This window comes from Homo sapiens, chromosome 1 (genome assembly GCF_000001405.40).
Source record: "Homo sapiens chromosome 1, GRCh38.p14 Primary Assembly".
In the NCBI taxonomy this organism is placed as follows: Eukaryota; Metazoa; Chordata; class Mammalia; order Primates; family Hominidae; genus Homo; species Homo sapiens.
The window spans coordinates 111,912,796-111,932,289 of record NC_000001.11 but is presented as its reverse complement, the minus strand read 5'-3'; the positions used below and the strand labels follow the sequence as shown (position 1 = coordinate 111,932,289).

General features: G+C 45.2%; 1 protein-coding gene across 8 annotated transcripts in view; it reads left to right on the top strand.

The window, feature by feature from the left end:
- The window catches only part of KCND3 (potassium voltage-gated channel subfamily D member 3), a 219,007-nt gene that overhangs the window by 57,379 nt on the left and 142,134 nt on the right, over window positions 1-19,494 (top strand). The gene's annotated exons all lie outside the window — the stretch shown is intronic.

Sequence of the window (19,494 nt, the reverse complement as noted above, 5' to 3'; positions counted from 1 at the left end):
GCCCAAACTCTCATCCCCTGCTCCCGTGGATATGTTACCTTTTCTGACATAGGGTAATTAAGGCAGCAGGTGGTATTAAGGTTGCTAGTCAGCTGACCTTAAGAAAGGGAGAGTTTCCTGGGTTATCCAGGTGGGCCCAGTGTAATCACAAGGGTCTTTAAGGTGGAAGAGGCAGGCAAGAGGAGAGGTCAGAGTGGTGCAATCTGAGAAGGACTCGGCCTGCTGCGGCTGGCTTTGAAGATGGAGGAGAGGGGCCACAAGCCAAGGGCTAACCCAGGGAGGCCCATTGCAGACCTGTTATCTCCAGAACTGTATACGTTGGTGGTGCTGAAGACACTACGTTTGCATTTGTAAGAGCTGCAATGGGAAACTAATACAGTCTCGGAGCAGGGGCATTTGCCACCATGGTGAGACCGCCACTGGAAAGTTCCATGTCAGTCTGGCCCATTCCTAATCTTAAGGGATGTCCTAGTGGGAAAAGGGAGCTATTATCTCATGGCACAGAAGATGAGTCTCTGCAACTGCCCAAAACATCAAACCCTAAAATAATGATAATCATGCTAGCAAGCACTTACGCAGCACTATGCCGATGCTGCCCTAAGCCTTCGTTTTGTGCTGACTTACAAGCTCCCCATAATGGCTATGTGAAGTAGTTACCGTCTTACTCCATTTTACAGATGAGGAAATGGAAACCCAGAGAGGTTAAGCAACTTATTCAAAATCACACGCAGCCTGTAAATGATATGCTAGGATTTGAACCCAGGCTCTAGAATCTTTGCTTTCAGCGACTACACTAGGAAAGCTATGGGCTCTCCTTTCTGTGGGACCTTTTCCTTGAGGAAGACAGAGTCTGCTCTCAGGGGGAACTCTACAGGTTTTTTAGGGGGTGGGTGGGAGACTCCTTCCACATCCTGTTGGTTTCATTTGTTTATTTTGGGTGTATGAAGGCCATGTGAAACGTTACTGAGCTTTTCAGAATCAAAACAGTACAAGAAGGTATTATCAGAAGTGTCCCACCCTCCTCATCTCTTCTCCCAGTTCCCATTCCTCCTTCCTTCTCACCTCTTTCCCACCTACCTCTTGTAGATAGCCAGTCTCTTAAGTTTCTGGTTTATCTTTCCTCCATTCTTTTGCACAGATGAGCAAGATGCCTGTGTGCTTTCTTACATCCCTCTCCTTCTCATACGAGGCAGAGTATACTGTAGACACTCTTCTGTGCTTTCCTTTGTAACCTAACTTGTTCAGCAGACAATGTGCTGGATGTGCTGTGGATCAGCTTCCTTCATCACAAAGACAGGGGTGTCGTGGGATGGGGCTGGATAAAGAACCCACCTCTCCCCAGCACACAGTTTGGTTTAAAACAGAATGACCTTGTAGCATCGCAACCTTTTTCACCTGCAGAACTGAGCTACCTGGGTGTGTGCCCTCCAGTGGCCTCCCTTCCTGGCATTTCCAGCATGTCACGGTTAAGTCTCACTGTATCTTTGCCATCCTTATAATGAAGATAGAAACCAGAATCCCCATGTTGCTGGAGGAGAAACTGAGACTCAGAGGGGCTTTTAAGTCATTTACTCAATTACATGATGATTCAGCACAGGGTTAAGCCAAGATGCCTTTTTTTTTTTCTACACTTGGGTGCAGCCAGTGGTGCTTTATGGAGATGGTTACTGAGAAGGGGGTTGGGGGTGGCACCTAGCCAAGAATCAAGGACCAGAGGCAGGCAAGTGCCCTGGGGCCAGGTGGACAGGAACCAGAAGCCCCTTACCCAGGTCCAGGGGCTGGCTGGCTTCTTGGTCTACTGCTCAGACACTGATTCAGTTATCCATCCAACCAGCATTCATTGAGGAACACCTTGTGCCTTCCTGCAGAGAGAACCTGAATGAATGCTTTCCCAGCCACGGATGAAGACGCCAGTTCTGGTGTCACATTAAACGGCGAAGGCCCTCTGCCTTTGGGTGTGCTGGAGTTCAGCACTCTGTGCAGTATATGAGACCCCCTTTTGGGGTTCCCTCCAGCCCCAGGATTTATCAACTACTAACACAGGGATGCCCTCCTGTTCCTTGTCACCTCAGTTTTCAAGCCAATTTTCTGTGACTTTGAACACAACTTACTGCTTAGAAAAAAAAAAAACAAAAACCGAAAACAGTGAATTGCATCAAATCACCTCGCTTTGTCCCGCATTCCAGCAGCCCTTCTAAATCTGCCTACCTAATTAGCTTCTTCTCCTAACCCAAAATATGATTAAATCTGTATTAAAAATATCTGTGCAGAGTAGGATCAGACACACCTGAGCATTTTCTAAATTTAGCAAAGGACAATGGGCCCTGGGTTACTTTAATTGGGTGCAGGATTGCTGCAGGAATACATTTTAATTTGGATTTCCAGAGCGTTTCTCTGTCTCCTGCCTTTAAATTGCGTAGCAAAGGAAGGGGGAGCATGATGGGGCCCGTTCATAACTGCCATCCCTCCCAACTTATCTTGGAGCTGAATGAACAATGTGCGTCTGCTGGGGGAGGGGACAGGCAGCCAAAGGGTGTTCCTGTCCACTCAGCTCTGCAGCTCCAGGAGCACTGCTTTGACAGGTAGAAAGGCACAAGCAGGATGGGAGAGGCAGTCGTGGGATCCCTGCAGCGTCCTCTTCACACACTTTTTTCTGGGAGCCCCCAGTAGTTCACTCCACTTTCTGGTACTATGGGAGAAGGTGCTTACTCAGAGGTGAGAAGCAACTGGGTAGTTGGGACAAGAACTTAAAAAAGGAACAGTTTCGATTAGGAGGTGCATCTCCGGGTTTTCTGTCAGTTCCTTTGCTGAAAGATGAAACAGTGCCACTCGATAGTGCCACTGATGATAATGATGTCCCCCCAGGAGATGCCAAGGCAGGCTTCTTACAGAAGGCTTGAATGACTTCCCTGATTGTACCTACCACCCTCCATGGCTGGGGAAGCGGGAGGCTGGGAGTCCCAGCATCTGGAAACCACTTGGGTAAAGTCAGCCAGTGGTGCTCAATAGAGAATAGTTTACTGAGCAGTGGGGGTTGTGGGGGGCAGAATGCAGCAGAGAACCGAGGTGGTGACCTGGTGCCCAGGTACCAGAGGTGGGACAAGGCAGGCAAGGTCTGGGCGTGGGCTGGTTGGTGTGAGAATACCTGATTTCTCCTTAGGGTTCTCAGTTCCCTCTTGGAATTATTACACCAGGTGCTTGCAACTGATTTCCAATTTGCGAAGCAAAACAAATTTGCATTAATCAGAAAAATCCCCAGGAAAAACTGTTCAGGTTTTAATGCAGCTGCCAGAGCCGTTTGGATTCCAAGTTTGCAGGAGGCTCTATTAACCTTGATGCCATCACAGGCTTGTTATCTCATCTGTGAAACAGTCATGTCTGCAGAGCAGATATTTCCTCCCTGATCCCAGGCTGTGTGGCCTTTTCATCCCGAACACTGGAAGGCAGGGGCAGGAGGTGGGATTCTGTCACATCCCACAGTGACACTGCTCCCAGGAAGGGCTGTGTAGGGAGTGCGTGAGATCTATGTGGCAAGGTCCTGGGACCAGGACCCTGAGGTCTCCTGTGAGCTAGACTGCCTCCCTTTCTGAAAACTCAGGAGTTGCCTTCACAGCAGCTTCTTCGTTCCTGGCTGCCCCTGCCACTGTTCACTCAGTTTTGGGGCTCCCTGCTTGTGTGTTGTGCCCAGAGAGTGAAAGTTCATCTTAACCTCAACATATGCAAATGCAGTCGGGGGTGAATTTGTCTCCACACCAATTGCGTGATGCCGTCTGAAGCCACTTAGGAGTGGGCTCCACAGCCAGGCCCCACCCCTGGTCTTTGCTTGAGCTTCATTCCCGCTGCTTTCCACTGAGGTGGAACAGCAGGCATGGGCCATGATCTGCGTTTTTTGTGGGAAGGTAAGAAGGGACTTGGAGATCTTTAAAAGCAGGTATCCCATCAGCTGAGACTCCGAGAAGCTGAGCTTCCCGGGGAGTAGGTGAGCTTCACTCCAGGGCCCGTTCACTTTCTAGTGCACCATGACCTCTATGCCACTCATTCATTTAACAAGTATTTGTCGAGCTCCTATGCGACAGACACTGTTCTAATCATTTGGTGATACAGCAGTGAGCAAAGTAGAATAAAATTCCTACCCTCATGGAACTTATATTCTAATGGGAGTTAATAACCTAGAGATACGTTAGCTAAAAAAAAAAATTAAAAAGTCAGTGGTGGTAAGTGCGCTATGGAGAAAACTAGAGCAGGGCTAGAGCATGGAGAGTGGCAGGGGCCTGGTAGGTCCAGGCAGTGGGTAGGGGAGGCCCTGGGAGAGGTGAGCAGTGACCTCAAAATGCTGAGGGAGTGAGCCACTCCTGTGTCTGGGAAGAGGAACGTCCCAGACATGGGGAGCAGACAGGCCGGCAGGAGCAGGCCTGGGATGCCTGAGGAGTGCTGTGGAGAGGGAAGAGGAGTGAGCCCTGGCTTGGCCTCACCCTCCTGCTGTCATGTTTACAACACCACTGTGATTTCTGGCCCACTTTTCTGATGAGTGCTTGTCCCCTAGGGCAGGGCTGTTCTTTGCATCTCTGGTGCCTAGCACAGTGCCCAGCATGGAGTGAGGACTCAGTGAATGCTTGTTGGATGAATGGAAAAGGAAGGAGGAAAGAGGGAGGAAGAGAAGGCAAAGAGAAGAAAGAGAGAAATGCATATAAGCATTGTCACTCACATTTCATCCTGGAAAGTCCACCCCAGGGTTCTCTCCCTCTGCACACGTGGGAAGTAGTGACTTGCCCTTTCACCTGTAATGCAGTCAGCTACACAGGAGGACATGGGCTGTCAATCACATTCTCCATCCTGTTCTCTAACTCAGTGGCTTATAGCCAAAAAGAGGGAGGCATGCCCATTCAGGAAGGGGTCTCCAAAAGTGGATGAGAAAATGATGTGCCCTCCTCCACCTATGGGTGTGAACACTGAGGCCTAGATACCAGGCCTTGGAGTGAGAACAGAGTCTGCAGGCTTCTGTGGTAAGAGGGAGCCCTGCTCCTCACAGCCTCCTCAGCCTGTGGGCACCCCATAGCCCCCACTGGGGGGCAGCCCCATCTCGTTGGTCCTAAATCTGTTGGCTCTAAATCTGTGCTCTGACATTCCCAGCTGTGTGACTCAGGGCCCATATTTAATGTCTCTGGGCCTCAGAGTCCTTAGCTAGCAAATGGGGAGATAATGGTGGTTCCTACCTCACAGAAGTATTGTGAGGATTCAGTGGAAAAATAGACATAAAGCACTTAGCAGCATAATCAGCCCCTAGTAAGTACTCAGTTAATGCTAGCAGTTGCCTTTTGAGGGAAGATAAATGAAGGAGTGAAAGGAGATGCATGTTTAGAAAAAAAAGAAAAAAGGACAGAAGGGGAAGAGACCAGGCATCTTCCAAAGGGAGCACTTCCTAAAGCAGGTCAGCTTTCAAGAATTAGAGCAAACTGCTGTTCTTGACCAGGCTGACGATCTAGCAGTGAGGTGCGCGCAGCTGCCTGCGTCAGCCCCGAGCGATGAACAAGAATTCAGAGATGCTGCCTCTGTCCCCAGTACAGCTGCCTCCTAAAGTGCTGAAGGGGAAGCCAGGCATTGAGAGAAGCAGGGCTTTATCCCGGTCTGTCCTCACCTGGCCCTGCAGGCCTGGGCAAGCCACTTCCCCACTCTAGCCTCAGTGTTCTACCGTGAGAACAAGGGGAATGGACTGGATGGCCTCCAAGCCCCTCCCTGCCACCACCAGGGCTCACCTTGCACCCTTCTACGGGACAGGCACCTGTGAGGTGATGGAGGTCAGGCTCAGGACTCAGACATACCTGGATTTGAACCCCAGGCCTGCCAGTTCCCATCTGGGTGACCTTGGATGCATTACTTAACCACTGTGCCTCACCTCATCTTTAATAAGAGGTTGGCTATGGAGTTCAAATGATATCATGTATAGAAATGCTGAAGTGTCCAGTACATAATCGCTCAAGGAATTGCAGCTATTACTACTGCTGCTGCTACTCCCACAGTTGTTCTTATGTACCATCACAGTGCAGTGTGGCCTACCCTAATGTCCCCCAACTCAGTTTAAGGAGATCTTATGCCATGGGAACTAATGTCCCCCAACTCAGTTGAAGGAGCTCTTATGCCACGGGAACCACAAACTGTGGAGTGAATCACACACAAACCATTTAGTATTGAAGTTAAGTAAAATTCACTGCAAAGTTACCCTGATAACATCCTTAATGGTATGCATAATTGTTTCTGAACTGCACAATAATTAGGAATAAATGGTAAGCTAGGCATATAAATGGAAATGATTAGTATGTATAATAATTGGGCAAATAAGGCATTTTTGTGATCAGTGGGGAGGGGGAGGATACTAAGGCTGGGAAAGAGGATGGTGTCGGGGGAAGGATGCCTAGCCCCTGTGCACAGTCCCTGGAAGCCCATCCTTTAATCTCATGTTGGGGGGTTGGTCTTTTTTCGAGTTACATCAGAGCCAGACCCATTAACCACCACACCCCAGCTTTCAATAGGAGGGCCTGATAAACCACATGGGCAGGCACTCTTCTCTTGTCACAAACACTGGACTTGTGACAAGAGAAGAAAGTACATAACTAACTGCCCATGAGAGCTTCAGTGTGCTGAGTACATTATTCCATCTTTACCTCCTTGAAGGCAGGTGTTCTTGTTCCATTTTACAGATGAAGAAACCGAGCCCCAGAGAGATTAAGTGACCTTTCCAAAATCACACAGTTAGAACCCAGGTCTCCTTGTGTCTGACTCCAGAACCTGCTCTGTTAACCACTAAAACTGCTATTTTAAAAGGACACTGTGATGCTTCCAAAGTTAAATGAGGAATTCAAGTGAGAATGATGCAGTAGGTAAGAACTTGGGCTCTAAAATCATATTCGTAGGGTTCAAATCCTAGCCCAGCCACTTGCTAGCTTGGGTGACCTTGAGCAAGTCCCATAACCCCTTAGTGCTCATATGTACAGCAGAAACAGTCTTGTGAAAATGAAATGAGTTAACCCACGTACAGCAAATGCTCTTGTTCAATACATCTCATAGTACCTGGCACAACATGGACACACATTCTGGGGTTGCTGAATGCCAGGGCAGCCTGCGCCAGCAACAAGGGCCATGGGCAGCCTAGGTGTGGGGAGTGAGGCCAGCCAGCTTCTTCTTTGTCCTCCCTGGTACCCTGGCAGTCAGCTGACCACAGAGGTCAAAGGGGCATTTGAGGTGAGGTCTGAAGCATCACCCAAACTTTTAGTGCTAGTCCCTGGATAGGTCGGGTTGCCCACAAGGTGGAGATGAGAGCAGCAAAGGCCTTCATTTGAAGACTCCTGGGCTGGCTCCACAGATCCCTGTCTCAGAAGTGTTCACTTACAGAGTGGATACACATGCAGGGTCTGGCTTCCCTCCCAGGTAGGAGACAGCAATCAGAAAGGAGGATGCTCTTGTCCCTCTCAGGGTCATAGCCAGAAGCAATATGTTTTCCTCTCCAGGGAAATTAAAGAGTCAGATGCAAGGCAGCCAGTGTCTGGAGGGAAGACAAGCCAGTCTGTTATGTCTTAAGTGTCCTGAAATAGCCCTGAGCTACGGCAGCCCTGACCTCTGCTCCTCCTAAACTAAGACCATCCAAGGGCACCCTTGCCCTGGCCCTTCAGGCTGACAAAGTCCTGGTAGGGAGGCATTTTCTAAGTATGAGGGACCTTTGGCCATTGTGCTGGGATGGCTCTGCCCTGCTGTTCCATTGGACAACCCCTGAGCCCAAGCTTGCAGCCTGTGGCTTGGTCTCCTACACATGTTAACAAATAAAAACTTCACTGACTAAGGTGTGAGCTAGAAATGCTTTTGGATGACCTGTGCAGGCCTGATGAAGCTCCATCTCTGCTTCTCTCAACAGTGTTCTATAGGGTGTAATGTTCTCCAGAATCTCCTGTGGTCCCTGAGCATCATATTTATTGCTCAGAGACCACTTTATAGCTGTATTACAGCATTTAGTGCACATTATCATAATTATTTGTTCGTGTGTCCATAATTTCCCCTTCCAGGCTAGAAACTCTTCAGAGAGAGGCTGCTCATGTTGTTCACCTTTGCTTCTGAGGTCTCACACTCAGTGCCTGGCACGCAGGTGCTTGATGAATGTGGAGTGGATATGAATGAATAGTTGGAGGGCAGTAGAGTGCAATGCACAACTCTCTGTGGCCTGTGCTGCCATGAGCCATCTGCTTGTGACTGCGAGTCCTAGTTAGGGTTGTGCTGGTGGTCCTGGCCCGTGGGCACATTGGAGGAACAACTCCTGAATTCCTGCATGATTGAAGTCCTAAGCCATGTCATTTGTCCAGTGGTCAGACACTCCCATGCCCTCTGCCCAGCCCCCTCTGCATGGTGGTGCTTGAAGCAGCATTTCTGCCCACCCCACTGCCTTCAGGAGGAGGAGTAAGGTAAGGAGGAGTCATTTACCTACCAGTGTGGTGGCCCTAAGTCAACTGACCATTAGCACCCTGTGCACGAAGCCCCTGCGCTGCACCTCTGCTGAGGAGCTTAGAGCTTCAGACGAGGTAGCAGGGCCCTGTTGGTTTTTTCATTGAGACAGAAATATGTGCAGCTTCCTTAGCTGGCAGTACAGAAATAAATTTCCAAGATGTTGACCCAGGTGTTATAACACCGGAGATTAAAATCCTGGAGACAAAAGTGAAAAGGTCACACACACTCCCTCTCACCAGCCCAGCTGCCCAGGTTGGATGCTTCTATAAACTTTCAGGTTAGGCACAACTACCTGTCAGGGTCCTGAGCCTGGAAGCTTCAGTGGGATAGATTCCCTGAGCTTGTTGGAGAACCAGAGGAAGTCACTTTGGGAAGATGGGGCACAGGAAGAAGGGTATAGGGCAATCTTGGGGCACATCTCAGCTTTTCAGCCTCAGCCCTGCATTGAGGAATCAGATAGTAATGACTGTGCTGGCAAGGGAAGCAGGCAGGAAACCACCTCTGGTCGTGTCTGATGCTGTGCTAGGCCATCAGGTACCTAGGATGCAACCCATATCTATTCTGATGAGCCGTGTCCTCTCCACTGTCCCACACTGGTTCTCAAGACTAGGTCTGGGCAGAAGTCCAGAGGGTCTGGGAGAATGTGCCCCAAGCTGTAAGAGGCCTTAGAGGCCATATATTCCAACCCCTTCATTTTGCTGGTTGGGAAACTGAGATTGAGAGGTCAGGCAATTTGCACATGGTCACACAGCTAATGAGGACAGGGTGGAACCAGGCCTCCTCACTGGTGTTCCAGTAGTCATTCAAAGCCTGCAGGGATGATCAGATCTGAATGTGTGTGCCTGGTTTACCCCCAGACATTAGCCTTAAGGCAGGGCCATTATCAAAACAGAAGAGACAGTCAATATTTATTGAATACTATACATTGCCATCTCATTGAATTCTTACAACTACCATATAAAACAGAGACTTATTCTCCTACAGATGAGGCAACTCTAGCTCAGAAAGGTCAAGTAACTTGCCTGAAATCACACAGCTGCTAATTGCTAGATGCAGAACTCAAATCCAAATCTCACTGCATAGCCAAAGTGGATCTAGCAAGGTTCCACCATGCTTCCTATATGCCAGGTACTGTTCAGAGCCCTTACATGTATTAACTGAATTAATCTTCCTAACAACCTATGATATAAATGCTGTTAATATTATCCCCACTTAAAAGAGAGGAAACAGGCACAGAGAGGATAAGCAAACTTTCCTGAAGTCACACAGCTAGTATGGAGCAAGATTTGAACCTAGACTTTCTGACTCAGAAGAGCTCACTCTTAAATGCTGTACTGTACTCCGTAAACATTTGTTGAATGAATGAATAAAAGTACAGGAATAACTGCTGGTGCATCTTCCACAGTGCTCTTAGCACCTGGTGGTCTGGTGTGTGGGAAGAACCCCTCCTGTCCTGACCGCAGCTGTATCACCCTTCCTCAAACACAAATTGAAAACCACTTAGCTGTGCTGGAATGGGCTAAAATCTCAGTTTTACCTTGAGTCCAAGGCAGAGCCTCAAGGCAGTTCCTCTTAATGTCTCCCTTCCTTTTCTCCTGCCAATGCCGCCCTGCTCATGAATTAAAGATGCTGCCTGTGGCCATGGGTTCATAATGGCATCGCCTCTCTTGTGTTCGTCTTGGACAAGTTAGGGCTGCCTGGAAGCATTCTTAGGCTTCAAGGCAACAAATAGTTGGAGACAGAAATGTCTGCAGAGTGAGTTTTTTAGCTGCCTTGAGAAGAGAACACCGTGGCTGTTGCAGTAGCGTTAAAATTTTTTAAATCATTGCTTACCCATAAGCATTTTCTTGTTATCCCTACCACTGGGATAGCTAATATTTAGGCATCCACATTATCTCCCCAGGAGCTCAGACCCCTGGTTTATCCTGTTGATCTTCCTAACAGTTTTAGAAAAGGCAAGGCCAGGGTACCCCTTTCAGCTTTTTTTTCATGCAATGAAAAAAATTAACCATGAAAATACGTAGTGATTCCTCCTAACAAAGGCCTGGGAGAAATCAGGTGGTTGGTGACACTGCAAAGATAAAACATTACTTGGAACAGTTGGCAGACTTGTACTGCATCCCCAGTCCTCCCTTGTGCCTGGCATCCAGTTGAGTTCAGCCTGTGGGAGACCTAAAGGTGGGAAGAGAGAGGCATGAGGTATTTTCTCCCCACTTTCTCATGATTGGCGCTGCTGCTGGGCAGCCCCTCATCCCTACTCCCTCCCCTGCCCTTTCAGGCCTGAGGTAGACACAGCTTCCTGCCATTGCTAGTCCCTGGGTGCCTCAGCATCTCTTGCTGGTCCCCATAATCCTGCCTCTACCTCTGTAAATGGTCCTTCCAAAAGACTCTTGTATTCTCTGAGATGGGGTCTGTTAACCGCCTGGCCTTGACCCAAGCTCCATTGAAGAATAAGCTGCTTGAGGGAGCTGCTCTGGCTTCATGGAAGAGATTCGAGGGCCCTTATGCTGTACGGCTGTAAAAGCAAATTCCAGCTACACATTTTTCAGCTGTAGCCTTGCACAAGTTACTCAACTCCTAGGAGCTGCTTTCCTCAATTGGTTTACAGAGTTAAGAAGACAATAAGAATCTCTACATCATAGGGCACTATAGAGATTGAATGAGAAATAAATGAGACAACTTGTGAGGCTCACTTAGCAGAGTGGCTGGCTAAGTGTAGGAGTTCAACCATGTTAGTTTTCCTTACTCTTTCCAGCCACAGACCTGTCTTCTTCCCCCTGGAATTCCCACTGCTGGGTATGCTGCCCACCACAAAGCCTGGCACATTGCACACAACCATACACAGGGTTTAGAGAATGAAGAAAGGCAGATAAAGAGGATACTTTGCAAAGACTCCCTGCTGGGGCCAGGGGAGGGATTGAGTCAAAGTAAGAGGTACCGTGGACAGTGGCCTATCCCCAGAAGAGGAGTCCTGGAGTGAGAAGGTCAAGGCAGCCCCATCTTGGTTACACAAAGGAAGAGGTTGGTTGCTTGGGAGTGTTGGGGCACACACAGAGCTACCGGTGGCTTGACTGGCAGTGGACCTTCAGCGTGAGTGGGGACCCGCAGAGCATGTGGAGTGGATGAGGAGGGAAGTAGGAGGAGCCTGGAGTGGCTTCAGCCCAGCAGAGTGCACCAGCCCTGGGCTGGACCCCCACAGGGGCTGCAGCTGCCCCTTCGCTCACATTTGGCCTGGGGTTTTCAGCAGCAAGAGACTGTTTCAGAAACGGGAGGGAAGAGGAGGAAGCACCCAGCACTGGGAGGCTTGAGTGCTGCCAAGCAAGCTGGTACTGGAATTATTTGCAGTCCATATGCCAATTTGCTTTGTCATTGCCTGGCTATTTTTAGAAGCCACTGGCGTATCTAGGAAACCAGAATCTGTTGACTGTGTTTCTTCAGTGTGGGGAGTGTGATTATTTCCCAGAGATGCTGAAGGAATGTGTGAGGTCGGGCTGTAGGAAGACGACCTCTCCTCCCCCAGGTCAGGACTCACGTGCAGATGGCGCCCATGCAGCTGCATGCCCTGCCCTCCCCAAGGGTTTGCTTCTGCCCAGTTGATTGTGAGTGCAGGGTCTGCATGACCTTCCCCAGATGGAACATTGGCAGGAACTGGAGGCCTCCATTTTGTCTACCAGCTGGAGGGGCCAGGTGGGGTTCTCTCCCACTCCCTTACGTTCCCTAGGGCATCAGGTGGTCATTGGTCCAGTGGCCTGGGGGCAAAGCTGTCCTTCATTCCCTGTTCCTAAGGAGGAGTAAGAAGTAGAGACGAGAGGGAGATGTTATAGCAGCAACCTGAGCTCCTAATGAGAACCTTGAAACATTCCCCATCTCCCTCCATCCAGGCTGGCCCCTTCAAGGGCAGTGTCATTCATTCACATGCTGCTTAGAGCCTGGAGAAATGAGTGGCACCTGTTTCAAATCGGTTTGAATCCTAACAGTCCCAAGATGCCATCTCAGGAGGGACTGGGTTCCAGCTTTAGGTGAGGTTATCCTGTGGTAAGAGTGTTGCTGAGGGGACTCCAGCACGGGTTTGACTGAAAGAACTTTGTTGTGAGATTTTTGTATTTGTTCATGTGTAAATTTGCCCAGCCTGCTTCGGGGACATCATTCAATCTGAATTGGGGACCACTTTGGTAAGGGACAAATTGAGGTACTTAGAATAAAATCCCAGAGCCTTCCAGACCTTATCCGATGAGACCCTGCCTCCTCTCCTAACCCATCTCATACCATGCCCCCTTGCCCTCAGGGCTTTATCTCCTCTGGCCTTCTTTACAGTCCTTGAATTTGCCTCAGGACTGTGGCACCAGCTGTTTCTTCTGCTTCCTCCACATCATCATAGGGCTTGCTCTTATCATTCAGGTCCCAGGCAAAGGTCACACCCTTGGAGAGGCCTTCCCTGAACCCCATACCTAGAGTTGCCACCCACCTCAGCTGTGTGCCCACCATCAGCCTCCCTTTGGTCCCATTACCCTCTCTTACTTCATTCATAGCACCTATCGTTACCTATATTTATCTTGTTCATTTACTTGTACACTTGTTTACTGTCTGTCTCCCCAATCTAGAATGCCAGTATATTGAGGGCAAGGATTCTCCCTTGTTTACTGCTCCATTCCCTGCATCTAGAACAGTGCTTGGCACATAGTAGGTACTCAAGACATTTTTGCTGAATGAATTAATGAATGAAGGCACCCCGGGGGTGAAATGATGCCCTGAGCTCAGGCTCTGGGGCTAGCACAGCTCAGCACCAGGTCCTCTCATGTGATTTTGTCATCTTTCTTCTGCCATCACTTGGACAGCTCCCCTCTTCACCCTTCCTCAGCTGCCTCCCCTCTACAGGGGCTTCTACACACAGTCATTTAAGATGTAAAAATCATCTTAACATTCATTAGGTGGCAAAATCTTGAGGGTATAACCCATGCACAGAAAAATAATCTCATGACTCAAAAGCCTGCTTCATCATCCCTAGTTGTACTTCCTGGCTCATCATTCCCTGCCTCCAGCCTGGAAAAGTACTTCCCATACTTCCTTTGGGCAACAAAGGAAATTAAGCTGTTTTTGTTTTTTATTTGGGCTCCATTCAGCCCCTCAGTTTCATATTAAAACTGCTTTCTATCACCACTCTTTTCTGGTCTTACTAGCAACTCCCCTCTCCCCTTCCCCAAATCCTCTGTGCCCCCAAAGCACCATGGACTTACCACCATCCCAGCACTCACTATAGCTATGGAGGGTCTCTATGTGCCTGTTGCTCCCCACAAGGCTATGAGCTGGTTAGTGGTGGGACTGTGTCTTTTCATCTCTGTCTCTCTAGCATGTAGCACGGTACTGAAAAGTCCTTAAGAGATGCTAGAGAAGCCTGCTTCTCTCCCCAAGCCCTATGCCTATCAATTAATTTACTACATGCTTTGTAAACTCTATTTTTCAAGTTTCCAGGTCTCTTCCGAGCTCTGCTCCTACACTCACCCAAAAGACAGTTTGCTCAGGTCTTCCTTTTTAGATCTCATTGTCTTTTCACACAACTGCTAGCATTGACGTCAGTGTTTGTACATTGTTTTACAGTTTACAAAGTGGTTTTCTTGTGCACACTTATTTCATTAAATCTAAGCCACTTGCATCTTCCCTGGGCTCCAGTCAGATTCGAGTTTCTAAGTAAACATTTACTGAGCACTTATTATGTGCCACAATTGGATTTGGGTATTTTAAGTTTTAGTCTTCTAGGAGCCTCATTGTGTAAACCTCGGCCAAATATGCAGGGTAGGACAACCTCACAAAAGCAAAGAGGCAAATCCTCAGGATCCTGGATCCCCAGTGCCTCGTAGACTACCATTGTTTATCAAGGTGCACTTGTGTTCTGGACCATCCTTCTCATAAATGTGCCTATTCAATTCCGTCTGCAGAAGCAGGGAAGCACCCTGTTTTGAGACCTGTCCTGTGGAAAGGAAGAATGGTGTAGTGGAAGGTGCAGTGGTCTGGGATGGAGACCTCAGGACTACTCCTGGTATTGCACAGGTCTATGGCTCTTTACCTCAGTTCGCCCATCCTTAGGATGAAGATAATTCTACCTGCCCTGTCCCTTCCCACGGTCATTAAAGGATTATATGAGATTTGGAGTCCTAATGGCCTTTGATGGAGAAGTACCAATGTAAGGGCTCATTTTTCCCCGTCTTCCAATGGCCCTCCCCGATTCCTACATGGGCATGAGCGTCTGGTGCTTCGGAGGCAAGTAGGCATTTTTCTCACAACCACCTCCATCAATGGATAGATCCCCATTATATAATCTCAGTTCCGTTCTGTAATCATTTGAATTAACAATAATAGTGAGCATTTACTGAGCACTTTTGAGGTTCCAGGGACTATTCTAAGCACTCCACATACTTGCAGTGCAGTCCTTGTAATTCAGTCATTACGCCTTCCCTAGGAAGTGGGGTACTTTTACACGGATGAGCATGGAGCCTGCAGTTTTACTTATTTCCAGTTTGCATCCTTTTTAATTTTTTTCTTGCCTTATTGTACCAGCTAGGATTTTCAATACAATGTTGAATGAAATGGTAAATAGAAATGATCAAAGCAGGCATTCTTGCCTTGTTATCAGTCCAAGGGAGAAAATAAATATCGAGTCTTCACTGTTAAGTATGATGTTAGCTGTAGGATTTTTTCCAGTCATAAATAGGTATCACATTTTGTTAAAAGCTTTTTATACATCTTTTGAGATGATCATATGGGCGTTCTTTTTTAGTCTATTGTATGATCAATTACACTGAAGAATTTATATAGAATTAGTATTATTTCTTCCCTAAATGTTTAGTAGAATTTATCAGTGAAGCCATCTGTACCTGAAATTTTATTTGTGGAAAGATTTAACTAGAAATACAATTTATTTAATAGATATAGGGCTATTCCAGTTATCTATTTCTTCTTGAGTGAGTGTTGGTAGTTTGGTAGCTGGTGTCTTTCAAATAATTTCTCCAATTTGTCTAAATTTTCACACTTACTGGCATGAAGTTGTTTATAATATTCTCTTATTATCTTTTTGATGTGTGTGAAAGCTGTAGTGATGTTCCATCTTTCATGTCTTGTATTGGTGATCTTGTCTTTTCTCTTGATTAGTCTGGCATTTTTTTAATTTTATTCATCTTTTTTAGAAAAGAGCTTTTGGTTTTATTGGATTTCTCTTTGCCTTTCTGTTCATTGACTTCTGCTCATTATTCTTTCCCTTCTGCATACTTTAGATTTAGTTTTCTTCTTTTCCTGGTTTCTTAAGGTAGAAGTAGAAGCTTAGATCATTGATTTGAGACTTGTTTATTTTCCAGTATAAACATTTAATGCTATAAATTTATTTCTAAGCACTTTTAGCTACTACATACCATTGACTTTGGTATATTGTCATTTTTTTCAGTTCAAAATATTTTCTAATTTCCCTTGTGATTTTTAAATTTGACTTATGGGTTTTTAAGAAGTGCCTTATTTAATCTTCTAATATTTGAGGATTTTCCAGGTATCTTTTTATTTTTTATCTCTAGTTTAATTCTAGTATGGTCAAATTAAAGGCTATATGATTTCATTCTATCACAATATATTAAGACTTTATAGTCTAGAATACGGTCTTATCTTAGCCAGTGATTTATATGCACCTGAAGACAATGTGGATTGTGCTGTTGTTGGTTCGAGTGTTCTAGTAATGTCAGTTAGATCGAGGAGGTTGATGGGATTGTTCAAGTCTTTTACACCCCTCCTGATTTTTAGCCTACTTTTTCTATCAATTACAGAGACAAGAATGCTTAAATTTTCAACTATAGGTGTGGTTTTGTCTATTTCTCCTTTCTTTATATCAACTTTTGCTTCATGTATTTTGAGGTCTATCAACAAATACATATACATTTAGGGTTTTGTTTTTTTTTTTAATTTATCCCTTTATCATTATAAAATCCCTGTTAGTCCTGGTAATATTCCTTGTTCTAAAGGCTACTTTGTCTGATATAGTCACTCCAGTTTTTTTTTTTGTTTTTTTTTTTTTGAGACAGAGTCTCACTTTGTCACCCAGGCTGGAGTGCAGTGGCGTGATCTCGGCTCACTGCAAGCTCCGCCTCCTGGGTTCACGCCATTCTCCTGCCTCAGCCTCCCGAGTAGCTGGGACTACAGGCGCCCACCACCACGCCCAGCTGATTTTTTGTATTTCTTAGTAGAGACGGGGTTTCACCATGTTAGCCAGGATGGGCTCGATCTCCTGACCTCGTGATCCTCCCACCTCGGCCTCCCAAAGTGCTGGGATTACAGGCATGAGCCACTGCACCCGGCCTCCAGTTTTGTTTTGATCAGTCTTTTCTTGGTATATCTTTTTTTGTTCTTTTCCTTTTAACATACTTGTGTCTTCATATTTAAAGTGTGTTTCTTGCCGATAGCACATAGTTAGGTCTTGCTTTTTAAAAAAAAAATCCAATGTGATTATCTCTGCTTTTTAATTGAAGTTTTTAGATTAGGTATACTTAATGTAATTATTGATATGATTGAGTTTAAGTCTACTATCTTGCTGTTTATTTTCAGATTGTCTCATATGTAATTTGTTTATGTTTTCCTCTCTGCCTTACTTTGTATTAACTGAATATTTTTATGATCTCACTTTATCTCCGCTGCTGGCTTATTATCCATATGTATTTTTTTTTAGTGGTTGCTCTATGATTTAAAATATACATTTTAGCATATCAAAATCTGCCTTCTAATAATATACCACTTCATGTATACTATAAAAAACTTATATATTCAATTTTGTACCTCTTGTCCTTTGTGATATAATTGTCATATATTTTACCTCTATATTTTATAAATCCAACAATACAGTGAAAATTTTTGTTCTAAACAGTTAACACTTTTAAAGAGACTTCAAAAATGAGTACAAAATTTATTTCAATTTACCCACATATCTACTATTCCCAGTGTTTTTTATTCCTTTGTGTAGATCCAGATTTATATCTAGTATCATTTTCCTTTTTCCTGGAGAACTTCCTTTAAAATTTCTTACAGGCAAATCTGCTAGTGATGACTTATCTCAGCTTTGATCTGAAAAAGTATTTATTCTGCTTTCATCTCTGATTGATATTTTTGCTTGATGTAGAATTCTGGGTTGGCAGGTTTTTTTCCTTTTCAGTACTTAAGGCCATTGTTGTCTTCTGGTTTGCATAATTTATGACAAGAGTCTGCCACTTTGTCTTTCCTCTGTGTGTAATGTCCTTTTTCCACTGGCTGCTTTTAAGATTTTATCACTTGTTTTCAGCAATTTGGTTATAATGTGCCTTGGTATGGTTTGTGTTGACTGGGAATTCAATGCATTTCTTGGATCAGTGAGTTTATAGGTTGCACCAAATTCTGAAGGCTTTTGACCATCTCTTTAAAATATTTCTTCTGTGTTTCTCTTCTTTTTGGGGACCCCAGTTACATATATGTTAGATGACTTGTTACTTTCCTACAGGTCACCGATGCTATGGGTTTTTTTTTTTTTTAATCTTTTTTCCTTCTTTGCTTTATTTTGAATATTTTCTATTTCTGTTCTTCAAATTCACTGATCCTTTTGATGTATCTGTTAATCTCATTTATTATATTTTTATTTCAGTTATTGTATTTTGTCTTTTATTTAAGTTTTATTGGGGTCACTTTTCTATCTTCCTTTTTTAATCCTTACCATGTTCATGTTTTCCTGTAAATTCATGAGCATATAGTATATTGGCTATAGTAGTTTTACCATTCTTGTATGCTAATTCCATTATCTCTGGCATTTCTGAGTCATTTTCTAATGATTGATTTTCTCCTGCTTATTAGTTATCTTTTTTCTTTTTTGCATAACTTGTGGGGTTTGTTTTTGTTTCTTGTTTTTTGTTTTGAGACAGGGTCTTGCTCTGTTGCCCAGGGTAGAGTGCAGTGGCACTATCATGGTTTGCTGCAGCCTTGACCTCCCAGGCTTAAATAGTCCTCTCACTTCAGCCTCCTGAGTCGCTCGGATCAGAGGTACACACCACTACACCCAGCTTATTTTAGAGATGAGGTCCCCCTATGTTGCCCAGGTTGGTCTCCAACTCCTGGGCTCAAGTGATCCTCCCATTTCAGCCAAAGTGCTGGGATTACAAGCATGAGTCAATACACACAGCCCTATTTTATTAGATGCCAGACATAGTTAATTTTACTACCTTAGCCACTGATTTCTTTTCTTTTTGTATTCCTTTAAAGGGTGTTGGACTTTGTTCTGGTATAGAGTTAAGTTAATTGGAATCAGTTTGATTATTTTAGGGCTTGCTTTAAGATCTCTTAGGGTAAGTCTGGCACTGCCTTTTGTTTAGGGCTAATTTAGCCTCACTGTGAATGTGATGCCTTTCTGAGGACCCTACCTGTTGCTTTGTATACAATCGTGCATCACTAAACAATGGGGATACAGTCTGAGAAATGGATTGTTGGGCAATTTAGTTGAACAGACATGATAGAGTGTACTTACACTAACCTAGATGGTATAACCTACTACATACCTAGGCTATATGGTATAGCCTATTGCCTCTAGGCTACAAACCTGTACAGCATATTACTGTATAGAATACTGTAGGCAATTGTAACACAATGGTAATTGTTTGTGTATCTAAACATAGAAAAGGTACAGTAAAAATACAGTATAAAAATAAAAAATGGTATACCAGTATTAGGGCACTTATCAGGTATGATGCTTGCAGAACTGGAAGTTGCTCTGGGTGAGGCTGTGTGAGGGGTGAGTGAATATGAAGGCCTGAGACATTACTGTACACTAGTATGGACTTTATAAACATTGTACACTTAGGCTATACTACAAAATTGTTTCTTCTTCAATAATAAATTAAACTTAGCTGACTGTAACTTTTTTACTTTAGAAACTTTTTAATTTTTGTAACTTTTTGACTCTTCCAGTAATAGCTTAAAACACAAATACGTTGTACCGTTATAAAAAATATTTATTTACAT